General features: G+C 37.4%; 2 annotated features.

Annotated features, from left to right (window-relative positions):
* Positions 14,759-15,272: an enhancer, noted in NCBI's record as "H3K4me1 hESC enhancer chrX:113236585-113237098 (GRCh37/hg19 assembly coordinates)". NCBI's record gives its function as "activates a minimal SCP1, AML or CMV promoter by ChIP-STARR-seq in naive H9 embryonic stem cells {active_cell/tissue: H9 hESC(naive)}" and the evidence as "EXISTENCE:reporter gene assay evidence [ECO:0000049][PMID:30033119]".
* Positions 15,273-15,787: an enhancer, noted in NCBI's record as "H3K4me1 hESC enhancer chrX:113236070-113236584 (GRCh37/hg19 assembly coordinates)". NCBI's record gives its function as "activates a minimal SCP1, AML or CMV promoter by ChIP-STARR-seq in naive H9 embryonic stem cells {active_cell/tissue: H9 hESC(naive)}" and the evidence as "EXISTENCE:reporter gene assay evidence [ECO:0000049][PMID:30033119]".

Here is a 19,716-nt window from a genome sequence, read left to right as displayed (position 1 = left end):
ATAGTGTACCATAAAGGGGTACAATTTTTGTTATGTGACTTGTACCTCATTAAAAAATTAAATAGGATGGACAGAGTAAGCCTCTTTGATAAAGTGGGATGTTAGCAAATATTGAAGAAAGTAAGGAGGGACCCATGCAGAGGGAGTGCTGATCAAAAGCCTTGAGTTGGGAGTGTGCATAGAATATTCAAGAAATAGTTTGAAAGCCAGTGTGGATGGAGCAGAATTCATAAGAAGAGTAGGAAAAAAAATATTAGAAAGGTTGGTGGGGTCAGGTTTTGGATATTCTTCTAGGCTTTGTATGAACTTTGTGTTTTATTTTGATTCAAATAGGGGACCCTTGAAGAATAAAGGTCCCCTTCAAGGGGACCCTTGAAGAATAAAGAAGAATAATGTATTAAGAATAATACTTAATTTGGTGAGATTGTGAATGAAAATTTTTAGTATGAATTATTATTTACAGAGTAAATTTCCCAAATTGTAAGTGAACAGTTTGATGTGTTCTGACAAATGCAGACACCCTTATAACTCACACCTATCAAGACCAAGAACATTTCCAACACTCCAGTTAAGTTCCCTCATTCCCCTTCCCAATCAATCCCTTCACACATTTAATGTTGCCTATTCCAGAACTTCATGGGAATGGAATATTACAGTATAAAATGTTCATGTGTGACTTCTTTTGTGCAATATAAAGTTTTTGAGATTTATTCATATTTTATGTATATTTTTAGATAATCCCTTTTTATTGTTCAGTAGTATTGCATTGCACGAATATGTCACAATTTGATTATTTTCTTCAAATGGAAATTCAGGTTCTTTCTATTTTTTTGGCTATTGTAAATAAACTTACTATGAACATTCATGTGCACTTCTTTGTGTGAACATGTGTTTTCATTTTTCTTGGGTAAATACTTAGAAGTTGAATTGTTCTGATTCTGTAGTCCCCGCCTGTGGGCCCAAGGATCTGCCTTCAGAGGCATTCTTTCTTCACTGTTCTGTCAGTACCTTTCAGGCCAAGCTGTGTGTGTTGCTGCTGATATAACATTCTTAAAAACTTTGTGGGTGTTCTGTATATGTTACAGATACTCACACCATTAAACAAGAGAATCCCTCTCATACCTTTCCCAGATAATTTCATCTCTAGTCTGCTGAGATTGTTGAGTAGATTCATGAGTCACAAGCTTCATCTCTACAAAGAGCCCTCTGTGTGAGAGAATACTTCAAACTTAAGATTTCTTCATGGCATTAGCCAGGGTTATCTAGCCACATCCTTGGCCTTCTCTTTAGAGCATCCTTTATTAACTGTGAATCTTGTAATTTTAGCAAGTCTTGCAATCTGGATAGGCTGAGATTTTTCCAAATCAAGTTCTGGTTTTTGTTGCTATTGTTAACAGTTCTTCCCTCAATTTACCTATTTCCTCTCACATTTTACTACAGGCAGCAAGAAAAATCCAGGATGTACCTTTAACATTTTGCTTGGAAATCTCAGCTAAACCTCTAAGTTCATCACTTACAAGTTCTGCTTTGCACACAACTATAAGACACAGTTCAGCTAAGTTTTATATCAGTATATAATGAAGGTCATCCTTCCTCCGGTTTCAATAATATGTTTCTCATTTCCTTCTGCGTTCTCACTGTAAGTGCCTTTAATGTTCATATTTCTACCAACATTCTGTTCATGATGACAGGCAGAATATGTATTCTCTAATATGATACAGATTTCCTCTACTATTTTTCTCACTTCCTCTTGAGTCCTCACTGGCAGCGTCTTTAACATCCTCATTTCTATCAACAGTCTGCTCAAGGCATGTACATTTTATCTATCATGTTATTAAAAGTTTTCCAGCCTCTACCCATTAGTCAATACCAGAGCCAATTCCACATTTTTAACATTTGCTACAGCAACATCTCATTTCCTGGTACAAAAATCTCTTATTAGTTTCCTATGGCATTTGTAACAGATTACCATAAACTGGGTAGATGATATGGTTTGGATTTGTGTCCTCACCCAAATCTTACATGGAGTTGTAATTCTCAATGTTGGAGGAAGGGTCTGGTGGGAGGTGATTGGATCATGGGGTGGACTTCCTTTCCCCCTTGCTGTTCTCATGATAGTGACTGAGTTCTCAGGACATCTGGTTGTTTAAAACTGCGCGGCACTACCCCCTTTGCTCTTTCTCTCTCCTCCTCTGCCATGTGAAAATGTGCCTACTTCCCCTTCACTTTCTGCCATGATTGGAAGTTCCCTGAAGCCTCCCCAGCCGTGCTTCCTGTACAGCCTGCAGAACTGTGAGTCAATTAAACCTCTTTTCTTTATAAATTACTCAGTCTCACTTAGTGCCTTACAGCAATGCAAGAACGGACTAATACAGTGGATCATTTAAGAATAAACACAAATTTATCCTCTCACAGTTATGGAAGCCAGAAGTCCAAAATCCAAAATCAAGGTGTCAGCAGAGCCATGCTCTCTCTGGAAAAAACCTATTCCTTGCGTCTTCCAGCTTCTGGTGGCTCACAGTATTCCTTTGCTTGTGGCCATATTACTACAATCTCTGCCTCAATCTTTACAACACCTTCTCTTTTACATGAATGGAGTCTTACTCTACATCTATCTTACAAGGACACTTGTATTGGCATTCAGGACCCACCTCAACAATCTGGGATAATTGCCTCATCTCAAGATTCTTAATCACATCTACAAAGACCCATTCTTTAAATAAGATAACATTTACATGTTTCAGGAATTAGGAACCTGATTTCTTAGAGACCACCATTCATCCCACTACACACTAAAAGAATCAACTTTAATTAAAGAGAAATTATAACGCAAACCCTTGGACCTATAATCACATGGCCTATTAGGTACTCTGTTGTAAATACCTGTCTCTACACTGATAAGCTGAAAGATACGAATTATTGATAACACAAGGATATACATTTAAAAATCACTTACTGACTACCAAAATTGAGAAAAATTTAAAACAAAATTAAACATGTCTTTTCTGTGTTCTTTATTTTATGTAACAAATTTCTCTTGACTGTTTTAGCATTCAATATAACTCTCTTGTTGTCAAGCTTGTTTTGCTACAGTTCTTGTCTATCTATACAAAATGTAAATACCTATGTTTTCATGAAAATAAGACTAGTAAAAGATGTTTTAGGTAATTTTGAAATGCTATAAAATAGAAGTAAAATAGTAGAAAATAGTTTATAAATTGTGCCTATTGTTCATTATTTTACATATATAAATTCAGTCTGGTTGTTTTTCATTTCTTCTTTTCCAGTTTGAATTGATATTTTGTTGTTGTATCATAGTCTAGAAAAGTTCAATGTAACTTATGATTTTTGAAATAGTTGTTAAAATTGCTCTCTGTCTCGGCTATCTGTAGCTGTTCATATAAAGCTTGAATTAAATAAAAAAGAGCTTATGACAGTTTCTAGACCTGAATTTAAAGAGGGGGCTTTGTTAAATTTTGACACATACAAATTCAGAATTCAGGGATCTTGTGCTAGTGCCAGGATACTTACTAGCAGTGTCTCAGGTCATTGCCATCATCTTACTGCTGAATAACAGACATCAGAGCTTTACTCAAGGTCTATTTGATAGAAAGGTATCATCAGTCAGGAATCAGGAGAGCTATAAAAATTGCAGAGCAGAGAAGGAAAGTGTTGTGCAGGGCAGGAAATGACTGTTCAGGGCAGGGTGGGGCACATTAGAAAATGTAGGGGTAGGTTCAAGCCCAACAGAGTAAGGAGGGTTTGAAAAAGTCCAGGAGGGATTGAATAGTACCTTTCAGTAAAGGTATGATTCAGAAAAAGTAAGATAAGGGGACGGCGCATGGTGGCTCACGCCTGTAATCCCAGCACTTTGGGAGGCCGAGGCAGGCAGATCACTTGAGGTCAGGAGTTCGAGACCAGCCTGACCAACATGGTGAAACCCTGCCTCTACTAAAAATACAAAATTAGCCAGACGTGGTGGCTCACGCCTGTAATCCCATCTACTTGGAAGACTGAGGCAGGAGAATTGCTTGAACCCGGGAGGCCGAGGTTGCAGTGAGCCACGATCATGCCATTGCACTCCAGCCTGGACAACAAGAGCGAAACTCAGTCTCAAAAGAAAAAAAAAAAAAAAAAAAAAAAAAAGAAAGAGAAAGGGGGATAAGGCAGGGCATAGCAGAGATACCCAGAGCAAGGAAGAGCTGAACAAGACAAGGTCAGGCAAATCAGGGCATGGTCTGACATGTTATATCAGGTGTGCTAGGACATGGAAGCTGGGGCATGGCAGAGAACTGGTCACGAGAAAGTTGAAAAGTAAAATCTGTACAGTGCTGGAAGGGGTGGAGAAGAATGAGTCCATTATAAATGTAAGTGTAAAGTGATTTAGGGCAGGGCACTCTTGTAGAGGCTATATAGAACAGAAAAAGCCGAGTAAGTGATGGCTAGGGTAACATGAGGTGAGGCAGGAAAGGGCAATGAATATGTTGAGTCTGTAAGGCAACCTTGAGTCTGTGATGTTACTAAGAATGTTTCTATTAATTGATTAATAAGAATTATATGGAATATAGTTGTGATTGACATGATTTTTCAATATTGGTGGCATATAGTAAGCAGGTCTAAATATCAATTATCTCAAATTCTAAGGGTCCTATGTCAAAGTGCTCATCAATACCCATGTTACCAACCACAGAATTTTTTTTTTTTTTTTTTTTTTTTTTTTTTGAGACAGAGTCTCGCTCTGTCACCCAGGCTGGAGTGTAATGGCATGATATTGGGTCATTGCAACCTCCACCTCCTGGGTTCAAGAGATTCTCCCACCTCAGCCTCCTGAGTAGCTGGGATTATATGCATCCACCATCATGCCTGGCTAACTTTTGTATTTTTGTAGAGACAGGGTTTCACCATGTTGGCCAGGCTGGTCTTGAACTCCTGACCTCAGCTGATCCACCTGCCTTGGCTTCCCAAAGTGCTGGGATTGCAGGCATGAGCCACCATGCCCAGCCCCAATCATAGAATTTTGTTCTGTTATTGATCCTTAAATCTATAAAATGTGTTTTAAGAGTATACTGTAAATAAATGTCTATTATCACTACTAATTTTTGTATCTTGATAATTTAATAGTGTTGCTCATTCTGACTGTTCTTAAGAATCATGTGGAATTTGTGAAAATATTTATCTTAGGGCTCCACCTATAATACTGTATCTGCTGGGATTGTTGCTATATTATTCTCGCCAGCTTTCTGCAGTTAGAAAAAAATGAAAACCCATATTGTTGTACAATAGTTAATGAGGAGCCATTAATATCACATTTGTCGTTAGCTATATCTGTTCCAAAGAGAAGAATGTTCAGAGTGTTCTGCCTTGGAATAGAGGGTAGGAGAATGGGACTATATTAAGTAGGTGCCACTCCCTCCTTCCAGTTAGCATATATCTTTTCCCCTTTTGAATGTGCTGAGCAGTTGAGTGTAAAACTTAGTATAAACCATAAAAGTAGGCTACTACCTTAGTTAAGGACTTAGTCATCTCTTCCCTGGAACTATTGCCACAGCATCCTATGTGGTATCTCAGCATCTTATACCCCTCCAATCTGTTCTTCAAAGCACTACTCTGTGTAAAACCTTTAAGTAATTCCCAGCACCTGTAGAATACTCAAAACAGCTTAGAATGGAATGGAAAAGCACTCCATTCTAAGACCACTATTAATGCCACCAATACCTATTTTACCTTTCTCACTCAAATAGCTACACACTTAGCTAAAATGTTCATTTCTTAGCCTCCCTTGCATATAGGTGTAACCACATGACCAAATTTAAACCAATGGAAAGTGAGTGTAAGTAAGTGTGTAAGATCTGAGCCATTTCTACCAGAAAGACATGCTGATTTCTCTGAATTTTGATGTTTATCCTTCCCAAAGGTTAGTTTGAACCTTGTGGACAAAATCAGCACCCTAGAAGAGAATGGAGCAATAAGATGAAAAGAAGTTTTTTTTTAATTTTATCTGTCTAACCCAGTCTGGATTTGACAGAAAAATAAATGTATATCTCATATTGTAAATATTATTGTGAAATCCGCAGTAATTGTGGATGTCTTTGTTAGAGTAGTGTATCCCCTACAATAACTAATGAACTATCTTCTGCTCCTCTGCTTTATAAATCTGTATCTGGTTCATGATGTGTCTCTTGAATGAATGAATGGTAATGCACTAATATTGACTCATCAGGTTGGAGAAGTCATGTGTTACTGAATATATAAAACCACATATTGTCTGCTATGTCTTGTTACATTACTTGCTTATTTCTAGTTTAAAGTCCAATTAATGTAGATATTTTTATAAGACTTATTTTTCACAAGATATCATTAGGGATGTAGCCTTCCATAAAAATAGACTTGGTAGCTATGACCAATGGTATCAATCTATCCTCCTTTTCTTGCTACAAGCTGCTTGATGGTACCGTTAGGATTAAATCCTCTGTAGCAGTTACAAGATCTCTAGGAGGGCCTAGTTAAGATGAAAGTTAACACGTTAAGCCACATTCACCCATTTATACCCTGAAAAGGATTAGTCATTTTGTCACTTTCAAATATAACAGTTGGGGTTTGTAGACCCCAGATAATAGGAAATATGGTAGGCAGATTTGATTAGCTGCAAAGTCAGAAAAAATAGTCCAGGCCATGGAGTCCTTCTGGAGAGCATAGATCCGGCCAGGTCCCAACTTTGCCTTTGTCCCCAAGTGCTAACTCTCTAAAACTTATACTTAATAAATATTCACTAATTCTTGTCACTTGTATGTTCAGATTTAATGTGATTTATTATGAACTGGTTGAAATTTTTTCTTTAAGAATAATATTTAATTTGTGGTAGCTAATTAAAACAACCATCTTCACACAGGCTTTATCCATATAATAAGCCAAGAGAGAAATTTAAGTTGAAAAAATATATACATTTGACTTAAAATTTTAAAAATAAAAAAAGAAAAGATGAACTGGAATAACTTACTGCCAGGAGCATCACAAGCAATTTACAAGGTTGATTCCACAGAGTGAGAAAGACGAACACTTTTTTATAAAACAAATGTTTCTGATTTTCATTCTGAAATTGAAGAGTAAAATGGTCATATTTCATTGAGTAAAAATTGCTCTGACCTTGTCTACGAATCAGTGTATTATATAGTAAAAGGCTTGATCTCAAGCCATTTCTTCCACTGTTAAGTTATTAAATAAAAAGAAAATGATTGTCCATAATAAAATTGTTATTCTATTTAAAGGATCTTGACCCTTTCATACTAAAAAGGGTAGTCCTGCTGTTGAATTTTTAGAATATATTATTGGTCATTGATTTCATTAATCTAAAGTTAGCATTGAAAACCTCATTATCCTTGCAGTGAGCCAAGATCACGCCACTGCCCTCCAGCCTGGGCGACAGAGGGAGACCCCATCTCATAAATGAATAAATAAATAAATAATAAAAACCTCATTATCAAGCAATAAATGATAGGCAGTTGGCAAGGTCAGTGATGGATAAATTTTACTGTCAACTTTAAGTGGAGTAACAAGCCACAAATATCTTCCTAGAGATGACAGGGCCTGTTGGCCATGAATTTGAGTATCCGAATTCAGTCTTCTCCTGTGGGGCTGCCCTTCACTGAAATCCCTCCTCTGAGCTCTATTTTCTGCCACAAGGACAATTGAGTATTTGTACCAGCTGTGTCTTGTGTAGATCTTATTCCTCGAGATCTACTAAAGAAAATCAGTGAGTTGGATAAGTATCTCAAATGTAATTAGAATGAGGGAAGAAGATTTAGGTCTTTTTTCTTTTGTATCCTCAATTCCCCATAACCTTTCATTTAATGACATACTGTATCACATCAATAAAAGAAAGAGTGGCAACCAACTTTCTGCACTTCAAACTACTGCCTGGATAACGTCATCAAAGTGTGAACTAGGCCTGGCCTAACTATCCAATAGCCTACCTCTCACTAAAAAGAATCTTCAGGCTTAATTAGTGCAAGCTATCACCTTTATCATAAACATACCATCTTTCACTCTGTCCCCCAGGCTGGAGTGCAATGGTGCCATCTCGGCTCACTGCATCCTCTGCCTCCTGGGTTCACGCCATTCTCCTGCCTCAGCCTCCCGAGTAGCTGGGACTACAGGTGCCCGCCACAATACCCAGCTAATTTTTTTGTATTTTTAGTAGAGACGGGGTTTCACCGTTTTAGCCGGAATGCTCTCGATTTCCTGACCTCGTGATCCTCCTGCCTTGGCCTCCCAAAGTGCTGGGATTACAGGCATGAGCGACCCCGCCCGGCCCAAACATACCATCTTTATTATGCCATCTGTGACTTCATTTCTTTTGCCAGGAATGCCATCCCTTATCTATTCTATTTAGTTGTCCTACATCACTTACTCTTATTTTCTCCCTTTGAAATTCTGTCACCTTTAGAATCTTCACCACTAATGCATCATAGTTGTATACTTACTTCATATTGGTAACTGTTTTCTATTCATTAATTCTGCTTTCCAACTACATTGTATTTGCATACTTCCAAATTATCTACAGTGTCTAGTACAATGCTCAGCTAATTGGCACTCATGCTCCATGACAGTCCTTTGTCACAGAGTATCCGAAGTAATCTTCTAAAATTATAAATCAAATTATTTTACTCTCTTGTTTTATATCTTCCAATGATTTCTCATTCTAGGTAGAGTAAAATGAAAGAATCAGCTTTAATTGGTTTTAATCCCATGGTTAGTACCCCTCTACCAACTTTCCTTCCAATTGTGACTTAAATGCACAGTGTGCCATTCAAATGGAGCCCAACACTCAGCTTGCTGCCACATTAGGGAAGGTATGATCAACAAACACATAAAGTGCTATTTCGCTGATTCCTTCATTCAAAATATTTTTTAGACACCACCTATATGTTAGGTTCTGTTCTAGATACTGGTGTCTAGTAATAAACAATAAACTGTCCCTTACTTCTTGGTTCATTTTCATTAGAGTGACCAACTGTCCTGGTTTAAATGGAACATAAGAGGTTTCTTGGAATGTGGGACTTTCAGTGCTAAAACCAAAAAATCTCAGTGCTAACACCTGGGGTGAGGTGATTACTGTAATTCTTATTTTTTTATTATACTTTAAGTTTTAGGGTACATGTGCACAATGTGCAGGTTTGTTACATATGTATACCTGTGCCATGTTGGTGTGCTGCACCCATTAACTCTTCATTTACATTAGGTATATCTCCTAATGCTATCCCTCCCCCCTCCCCCCACCCCATGACAGGCCCTGGTGTGTGATGTTCCCCATCCTGTGTCCAAGTGACTGTAATTCTAATAGAGGAAACAGGCAATAAATACGTACATACAGAGAAGACATCTGATAAGTATCTGTGAATTCATAAGCCAATATTAATTGATTAAAGAGAAAAGAGCTTTTACATATTCATTAAAACCTCAGTTAATGATTTCGAATCTTGCCTTGTGTTTTTCATATGGAATCTGTCACATGTATTGCCGCATAAAAAATTATCCCCAAACTTAGCAGGTTAAAACAACAAACATTTATTTGTCAGGGTTTCTGAGCATCAGGAATCTAAGGGTGACTTAGCTGCATGGTTTTGGTACAGGGCGTCTCATGAGATTGCTGTCTTGATAGTAGCTAGGGCTGCTGTCATCAGAAGTCGTGACTGGGTCCAACGGGTCTTATACTCAGCTTACTTGCTCACTCATGTGGTTGTTGGCAGGTCTCAATTCTTCACAGGTTGTAGGCTGGAGGCCTCGGTTACCCAACATGTGGGCCTCTCTATAGACTACCATAGTGTTCTCAGATGGCTTTTTTTAGAGACAACAATCAGAGAGAGAATCTTCAAGATGTAAGCTTTAGTCTTTTTGTAACCTAATGTAAGAATGACATACCATGTTCATAACTTCTGCCATTTCTTTTTCTTTTTTTTTGAGAGAGTCTCACTTTGTCACCCATGCTGGAGTGCAATGGCGCAATGTCGGTTCACTGCAACCTCTGCCTCCTGGGTTCAAGCAGTTCTCCTGCCTCAGCCTCCTGAGTAGCTGGGATTACAGGCATGCGCCACCACACCCAGCTAATTTTTTTGTATTTTTAGTAGAGACGGGGTTTCGCCATGTTGGCCAGGCTGGTCTTGGACTCCTGACCTCAGGGAATACTCCCATCTCAGCCTCTCAAAGTGCTAGGATTACAGGCGTGAGCCACTGTGCCCGGCCCAGTTCTGCCATATTTTACTGGTGACACAGATCAAACATGGTCAAACATGGAAGAGGGCTGTACAAAGATGTGTATACCAGGAAATGGAGCTTATTAGGGGTCGATTTGGAGGCTGGCTACCATAACAGGTTTCTGTCCCTATCTTCACAATTATTATGCTAAAGGATCCCTTTTCCAAAATATAGAGTGCCTGAGCCAATTCTCAAAAGTTTTGATGTCAGGAGTGGAACATTGTCATGATGCATTCTAGTGAAGGAAATTAAAATATTTTGCCCCAAAATATATTTCTTTGACATACTTTGAAATGGCCACCACTTGGCCAGCAAACAGAAGTGGTCTTGCAAAGCTGTCTTTTGTGGGGAAAGTTTGTGTCTGTAGAGAATCTCCATTGATGCAACCATGCCCCCTTCCCTTTCTATGCCTTTCCCTGGATCCAAGAGAAATTGAGAGTCTGACATCATTAAAAATCTGAAAAGAAAAATTTACCAGTTATTCTCTTTGAGGAAGTCTTCATCTACCTAACAAGGCCACCTTTGCTAGCCAAGTGTCTTCCTTTCTCTCTCTCTTAACCTGTCTTGCCACCAATCCTGATTTACCAACAGTAGCTGTTTCTGGCCATGCTCTAACTCTACATATGTTACTGTGGCCTCAGGATGGCATATAAGTTTCTATAACTCATTGGCAAATTGGGTCTTCATTCTGAAGGACTACCATATATACACGTTAAATAAATTTGTATGCCTTTTCTTCTATTAATCAATCTACCTCATGTTGGTGATCTTTAGTGAACCTTTAGAGGGTCAAGAGCTTGTGTCCTCCCCACTAGATATTTCTGATGTAGGCTGTGTGAAGAACACATACAAACAATACTCTTAGCATGCCCCAGAAGAGTTTCATCTCATCCTATGGGATTAAACTACCCCTTATGTGAAGATCATGATGACTTCCAGATATCTATATCTGTATCTATCTATATCTGTATCTATCTGTATTTGTGTCTGTATCTATATCTATGTTGAGCTTTAGCACAATCTCACAGAGATGTTTCACAGGTAGCGCAAACCATTTCTTCTACTCCCAATTCATACCATGCTGTAGTTGCAAGTCTCCCTGAATTCCTGAACTTGATGAATAGAAATACCATTTTCTCTATAGCTCAAGTGAGAACGCCTTTGTTTTGCTAAAACTCCTCATATCAACAGATTTCAAAGTCTGCTGATCCTATTTTGTTATTAGTGTTTGTATTGTCTTCTTTTCCCTTGTCAATGCCTTAGTTCATGTACATATCATTTCCTCCTGGGTTGTGACCAATAACCTCTTACCCAGAGTACCTGATACTAATCCCATTCTTTTTAAATGGTATTCTCTACACCACTGCCAGTATTTTTTTTTTTCTAAAATGCTGATTGATCATTTTATTTCCTGCTCAAAATCCTTTTTTTTTTCTCCTTAGCTTCTGGTTAAAATACAAACTTTGTACTGTGATATAGAAGGCTCATTATTTCCAAGCCTCTGTAAACACCTCCGGTTTCACCTGTTGACATTCCACCAATGTTCCATATACCAAATTCAACCATAAGTCATTACAATATTTCAAGTCTCCCTGCTCTTGGAAATCTGTAAATTCCTATTCATCCTCAGATTCAGCTCAGGTGTCCCTCTTCCAGAAATCTCTTACTATGGTCTTCCACAAACAACATCTTCACTTACTCTTCTTTCACTAAGTACCCATCACTCACTTCTGTCACTGTGTACTATAATAATCTTCTGAAATTATTTTCTCCCACTAAACCTTGAAAGCAGTGACTGGTCTTTCATCTTTATATTTATAGTGCATGACAAAGTAGCCAGCTGAAGGTAGATGTACAGTATTTGTTGAATGAGCAAATTATTCTACTGTGAAATTTGCCTTTTCTGCTATATGACTCTGGGCAAAATTGATGGTTAATTTTTTTAACCTATTAGCTCTACACAAGGAAGATACCAATTATTGGGGAGTCTGGCTATTTTAATTAGATCAAACAATCATGTCCATCATTAAATAATTCACTGATAACTATAATAGAGGGAGAAAGTATTATTGTGGGGAACTTATATTTTATTGTGTTTGTTGGGCATTTAGAGGAAGGTATTTTGGTTAGCACTAACATTTACTGGTTGCCTACTATATGCCAGGAGCCAATAGCTAAATGTTATTCATTAATTAAAAAGATAAATCCTAGAGAATATGAACTAACAATATTCTCATTTTACAGATTAGCAAACCAAGACTCACAGGGGTTAAATGGTCAAATGATTTGCTTCAGGCTATAGAAAAGTAGGATTTGAACCCAGGTTGGTCTTACTCCAAAGTCCATAGAATTTCCAATTCTGCTAGGCAATTAATGACATTACTTTTGATGGTTTTATAGGATTAAAAATTATAATTTTCACAAAAAGCACCAAATTGGTAGCTTTCATAATAGAATAAAATGATAAAAGGAAATATCATTGTAAAATATACTTTTAAATAAATTATTTGTTTAATTTATGTTTTTCTTTTCTATTGTTTGTTTTAGGTTACTAAACTAAAGCACAAGGTTTGTGGAGAAATTTTATATGTTAAACCACTTACCAAACCATTTACCAAAAAGGTCATTTACAGAATATTTTCATTAAGATTTCCCATTTGATTTCAATTTTATTATAAATGTTATTATTTACATCTCAAAAATATCTTTCTGTAATGACATTTGTGTGCTACCTGTTTGAGATATTACCAGTGACCACAGCAAGTTCAGACAGAAGGATTCATTAAAGAAAAATTAAAAGTTATAAATCTTCATTGGTGACAAAAGACCACTGAGGATTTATCATCCAATATATATATCTGAGACATAAAAAACAAATCCCTTTCTTTGAATTTGTAGTTTCTTAGTTGAGTACTTATCAATTGAATAGTAAATGTACCATAAAATTGATTATCAATTGACTGATCATTATAATATGTGAATTTTTATCAGGGAATCTAAGAGGGAATTTAAATTTAGGTTAATGATACATCTTCTTTGATTCTGCCCTTAGAATCACAGCTAAATGGAACAACTGAATGAAACAATGAAACAGCTGAAATGAAAATGATCTTAGGCTTAAATAACTTCTAGTTTTGGTCCCATCTTCTTATATTGCACATAAGAAAAATCAGATTTGGACCAATTATTCTGGCTAAACGTCCATAGCAAGTTAGTAAGAAGATGGACTAGAATATATTTATGTAGATAGCATATATTAATAAGACATAAAAAATACCTAAACCCTTAGGCACCTATAGTAGAAGATCAGCTTTCTTTTAGCCTAATATTCAGATATATCTGAGCACTCTTGGCAATGAATTGGTGAGCAAGCCTGAGAAGAGATGATTTTCACAAAGTTATTAGAGATTTTGTTCTTGAGTTTGAGTGTATAAGTGCATGTATAGCTGAATAAAAGGAAAGGGAGATGGAAGTGATATAGCATCTATTGGAAAAATTTGTCCCTTGACCTTGCTATATGCAATGGACTGAATGCTTATGTAAGCTCTGTTAAAAAAAAAAAGTGTCAGAAACAGGTCTCAATCATTTTAGGGTTTTATTTTGCCAAGGTTGAGGATGCACCCTGGGAAAAAGAACACAAAACCACAGGAAGATCTGTGATCTGTGCTTTTTTTCCAGTGAAGGCCTGGGGACTTCAATACTTAAAAGGGGTAAGAGTGGGAAATAAAAGAAAGAGGAAAGAAAAACAAGCGGAGAAAGGGGAGCAGATAAAAGGGGCAAGTGGTACTACTCTTTTGAGGTTTTGATCAATGCTCACTGAATCCATATTTTACATGTGAAATGAGGGGGTACAGAAATAGTCAATTATGCATTTGTTTCATGTTCAGTGAATCTGCATTAATATGCATTTGTGTCAGGTGGAAAGTGTGTCATTGTGTCAGAGATGACTTCTGGTCCAGTTTTTGTCCTGTACCCGTGAAGATAAGCTGTTAATTACATTGTCAGGGTGAAATTCAACAAGACTGTTTTAGGGTAAAGATCTTGGGGCCTACAAGGAATTTCCTTGTGAGCAAATTCCTTGTGAGGGAGGGCTCCTGGGGAGCTATGTGAATTTTCATCTTTGTAGGAACAAAAGTGGGAGGCAATTTTGTGTGACTCAGTTCCCAAGCTTGACTTTTCCCTTTGGCTTAGTGAGTTTGGGGTCCCAAGATTTTATTTTCCTATCCCATTTCCCTCACAAAAAAAAAAAAAAAAAATCTTTCACGGAAAACATATTGGAAGAAAAGGAGTCTCTGGTCTCATGGTCTCATATTTTGTCTGATCTCTCATCACTAGGATGATTTATTCCTAGACAAATAGGTCCCACAGCGTTAGGAAAGCTTATTCTTAGTAGGCTGTGAAGTCTTACGTCTTGTGGAGAAAAACGGGGAGAGGAAGAAAGAGAAAGAAAATGGAAAAGAACGAAAAGGAGGGAGGAAATATCATAATAACAAATGGGAAAAGCAATCCCGGAAAACTGATTTAGGCCGTATAACCCTGATGTCTATACATCAGCAAGCAAGTACGAAATTTATTTATATATAATTTCCTGTTATTTTCTCCCAAAGCTTAAGTCGTCTAACATTAGTTTGCAAGGATTTAAGAAAACCACAGTTTTAATTTCTAGTGATTTCAAGTCAGAAAAATGGGAGAAAAAAAGGCAAATATTAGTTTGGAGACTTGTAACCACGAAAAATTTCAGAATCCGTACCAAATTGTAGAAAATAATAAAACCTGAAACACAGTGGACAAGGCTACAATCTAATAACAGGTGTACTATAGCTTCTTTTGAAAAATAATTTTTCTCGGTGGGGCGCAGTGACTCACGCCTGTAATCCCAGCGCTTTGGGAGGCCGAGGCTGGCGGATCACGAGGTCAGGAGATCGAGACCATTCTGACTAACACGGTGAAACCCCGTCTCTACTAAAAATACAAAAAATTAGCCGGGCGTAGTGGCGGGCGCCTGTAGTCCCAGCTACTCGGGAGGCTGAGGCAGGAGAATGGCGTGAACCTGGGAGGCGGAGCCTGCAGTGAGCCGAGATCGCACCACTGCACTCCAGCCTGAGCGACAGAGCGAGACTCCGTCTCAAAAAAAAAAAAGAAAAATATTTTTTCTCTTTCCAACTCCCCAATTTAACTAAAGATGAAATTGTAGTAGGATCAATTTATTTGCAAAAGAAGTTTTCGTCTTATTATACTCGGCTTGATTTTTTGCATAAAGTGCAGCAAGAATAATTATTTGCCATATGGCTCATTTTTAAATTGGCTTTGCTGGAGTATTTTTTTCATGAAGAATCTCAGATTAGACCTTCTAAATAAAAGCCTCAAGCCACAGCCAGCCAAGGATTTATCTGTGCCTGCATATACTTATATTAATTGGGTGGATTCCTCTCTTTTTAATGTCCCAAAATAATTTGGGGCCCCTGGGTCTGTCAGAAAGTGGCATTCTTTACCTACTGCAGATCAGGAACCTACCTGCAAAGGAACTGCATAGATAAGGTGTGAGGCCAGTTTTTCCAAAGGGCTGTTATTGGCTCTATAAAGTCAATCTCAATTCTTAAAGCAGTCTTCTCATTTCTGAAAATATGCCATTCCAGTCAAAGCCTTGGTAAAATAACCAGTGCTTCCGCCTGATTAAAATTAAATAGATTTGTTTATAAGATGTATTAAATTAGCTTTAGCATTAATAACATGCGAATGCAAAAGTAAAATTTGTTTTTCTCTCTGGAGCAAGATTTCATGTAATTGCCTCTTTGAATAAATTACCAAAAAAAAATAAACGGGGGGGGGAGGGGGAGAGAGAGACAGATTCAGTTGGCTTCACACTGTCTAATATGATTAGGTTTTATTATTTGCGAAACTTAGTCTCCTTTTTATCAGAGTAAAATTTTCTGCTTATTCTAAAAAACATCTTTGCGTTATCACTTTGGATAAATGAATGATTTATTTCAAAGTGAGTGTATTAATCAGGGTTCTCTAGAGGGACATAACTAATAGTATATATATATATAATTTTGGAAAACATATTAATAACACATTTATATAAATGTAAGCCAAAAAAATCTAAATACAATTTTATATTTGACAGTGCTTCTTGTATAATTTTAACATGCCAAATAAGCCAAGTATGTCTCTCTTGGCCTTCTGAAAAGTTAGTTTTAGGCCAAGAGACTGAATTTACAATTTGATTTTTAGAAAGTTTGTCAAATATCAAAGGTTCAAAACACTCGATACCACAAAATGGAATTACAGGTCACTCACTGTGATGGTTAATACTGAGCATCGACTTGATTGGATTGAAGGATACAAAGTAATGATCCTGGGTGTGTCTGTGAGGGTGTGGCCAAAAGAGATTAACATTTGAGTCAGTGTGCTAAGGAAGGCAGATCCACCCTTAATCTTGCGGGCACAATCTAATCCGCTGCCAGTGAATATGAAGCAGGCAGAAAAACGTGAAAAGGAGAGACTGGCCTAGGCTCCCAGCCTACATCTTTCTCCCGTGCTGGATCCTTCCTGCCCTCGAACATCGGACTCGAAGTTCTTCAGTTTTGGGACTTGGACTGGCTCTCCTTGCTCCTCAGCTTGCAGACAGCCTACTATGGGACCTTGTGATCATGTAAGTTAATACTTAATAAACTCCCCTTTATATGTATATATATATATATATATATATATATATATATATAGAAGAACAAATCAACATTGCAAGAAAACCCTGTTATTTTGGCACTGAGGTCTAGATTCTGGCCCTGCATTAGTGTGGATTTTTATTTTAATGTTTAATTTACAGACAAAAAAATCCTCTTTAAAGTTTAGCCAACTTGTTTATGAACAGAATTGTTTTTACAAGATTGATTTTCCTTAAAATTTTTACAACTTGCTTAAACCTTCAGTTGTGTCCTTTCTTTTTGCTTAAGACAATCTTTAAAAATGTCTAAACTAGACAAATTTCCCTTTAATAAAAACCACATTCCCTTTTTTTAATAACCTTTTACCAAAAACGCATCTTAGTTTTCTTATACACTTTGTGTGTACCTAGTAGTTTTAATTACATTCATTAATTATAATGTTAACTCTTAGTAACTCTTATTCTTAGTGAAAAACCTGGGAGGTAAACAATTTTAATATGTACCAGGTATGGAGCCAAGAGCAAAGGACAATGCCTGGAGTTAGGCTTTGTCAAATCCTAAAGGCTCAAGTCAAAGGACAAACATTTTTAGACAGGCAAGTGTCAGAAACAAAGATTTTTATCTGAAGGGGTGGGTTGCCCCTCCACACCTGTGGGCGTTTCTCATTAGGTGGAAAAGAAAGAGACACAGAGACAAAGTATAGAGAGAGAAAAAGGGGCCCAGGGGAGCGGCGTTCAGCATATGGAGGATCCACACCGGCACCGGCCTCTGACTTCCCTTAGTATTTATAAATACTAAGTTCCCTTAGTTTTGTGTCTCTGGGTACTTGAGATTAGGGAGTGGTGATGACTCTTAACAAGCATGCTGCCTTCAAGCATTTGTTTAACAAAGCATACCCTGCACAACCCTTAATCCATTTAACCCTGAGTTGACACAGCACATGTTTCAGGGAGCACAGGGTTGGGGGTAGGGTTACAGATTAACAGCATCTTAAGGCAGAAGAATTTTTCTTAGTACAGAACAAAATGGGAGTCTCCTATGTCTACTTCTTTCTACACAGACACAGTAACAATCTCATCTTTCTTTTCCCCACGTTTATCTTAAAACATCTAGCAGAAACAGTGACTAATTCAGACCAAATGTCTAAATTTTAAATGCATTTCTATGCTATTTTACCAATAATTAAAAAACTCTTTATTTACCAGAGATTACTAAAATCATGTGAACTTGGAAGGCATTTGGGCTTATTTATTTAATTTACGAGTAAGTCAATTTGATACCCATGTAGACAGTACACAGAAAGACATATACCCATGTACACATAAAGATACAGAGCATTACAAAGACTTTATAGTGTTGATTGTAAAATTTTAGCCATGAAACAGATAAACTCACTAGTTTAAAAGGAAAGGTGGGTTAAATTGTGAAAAGGTTAAAGTTTATTTGTTTTACATGGCCATGGTAGACACCCTTACTGAGTTTTGGAGAAAAGAGGGTAGCAAATTTACATTTCAAAGTACAGGGAGAGAAAGAGAGAGAGTCAGAGTGTGTTTGGGTGTGTTAGAGCAAGATTAAGAATAGATGCCAGGGCAACACAAAATCATAGAAATTTACCATAAGATTTTTTAAGGTGACCAATTCATTTAGATAGGTTGTTTTTGTTTGTGTTTTTGTTTTTGTTTTTTTTTTTTTGAGATGAAGTCTTGCCCTGTCGCCCAGGCTGGAGTGCAATGGCATGATTTCGGCACACTGCATCCTCCACCTCCCTGGTTCAAGCGATTCTCCTGTCTCAGCCTCCTAAGTAGCTTGGATTAGAGACTTGTACCACCACACCTGGCTAATTTTTTGTATTTTTAGTAGAGATGGGGTTTCACCATGTTGGCCCCACTGGTCTCAGACTCCTGACTTCAAGTGATCTACCTGCCTCGGCCTCCCAAAGTGCTGGGATTACAGGCGTGAGCCGCTGAGCCTGGCCTAGATAGGTAGTTTTAAATTTAGTCTCTGTCTTTTAACTGGACCACTGAGCTCAGGGTGGAGCCTACACTGAATCCTGGGTACCCAAAAAGGGAGAAATGGCATGGAACCAAGCCATTTAATGCTTTCTTTTACAGACATTTTTCTAAGAGTTTAAACTGCATCCTTTCTTATCTTAAACATGCAAAGAGTAGCTCCTGTAGTAATGACTACTTCCTGTAAGCAACCGCCATTAGCCATCTCTGAAAGTGTATCTCTTACTTAGCTATTACACACACCAAAGTAAAAAATTTTCTCATAATGCAAAATAACTTTTTTGGTACTCCTCCAAAATCCAAAGTATCAGGTAATACAACACAAAAGAGAGTAGAATTTTTATACCTAAGTGGAATCTGTCTGCCTAAAACTTGTGGGGTTCCTTGAGGAAAACAGATTCCTTTCAGAGGAGTTGTTAGTGTCCTGTGATTTCTCAGGGGATCCCAGGCTATCATAAATTCCTTATTTTTTTGTTAGGTCTCACATGTGGCATATAGTGGCAAGAGGGAGGCAGTCAGACGTAAATGGAGAAACAGAAGTCAGTTGACTGAGAAGAAAAAACTTTTTCTCAAAACAACAACAACAACCACAAAATCCTAGAAGAGAAAAAGCATTCAGGTCTTTATACACACACACTCACACACAAAGGTCATTTTATATATATATATATATATATATATATATATATATATATATATATATATATACACACACACACACACACGTAAACATACATACATACCACACACATACACACAGATGTCATATATATACACACCCTCACATA

Source organism: Homo sapiens, chromosome X (genome assembly GCF_000001405.40).
Source record: "Homo sapiens chromosome X, GRCh38.p14 Primary Assembly".
In the NCBI taxonomy this organism is placed as follows: Eukaryota; Metazoa; Chordata; class Mammalia; order Primates; family Hominidae; genus Homo; species Homo sapiens.
This window is presented reverse-complemented; position numbering and strand designations above follow the sequence as displayed.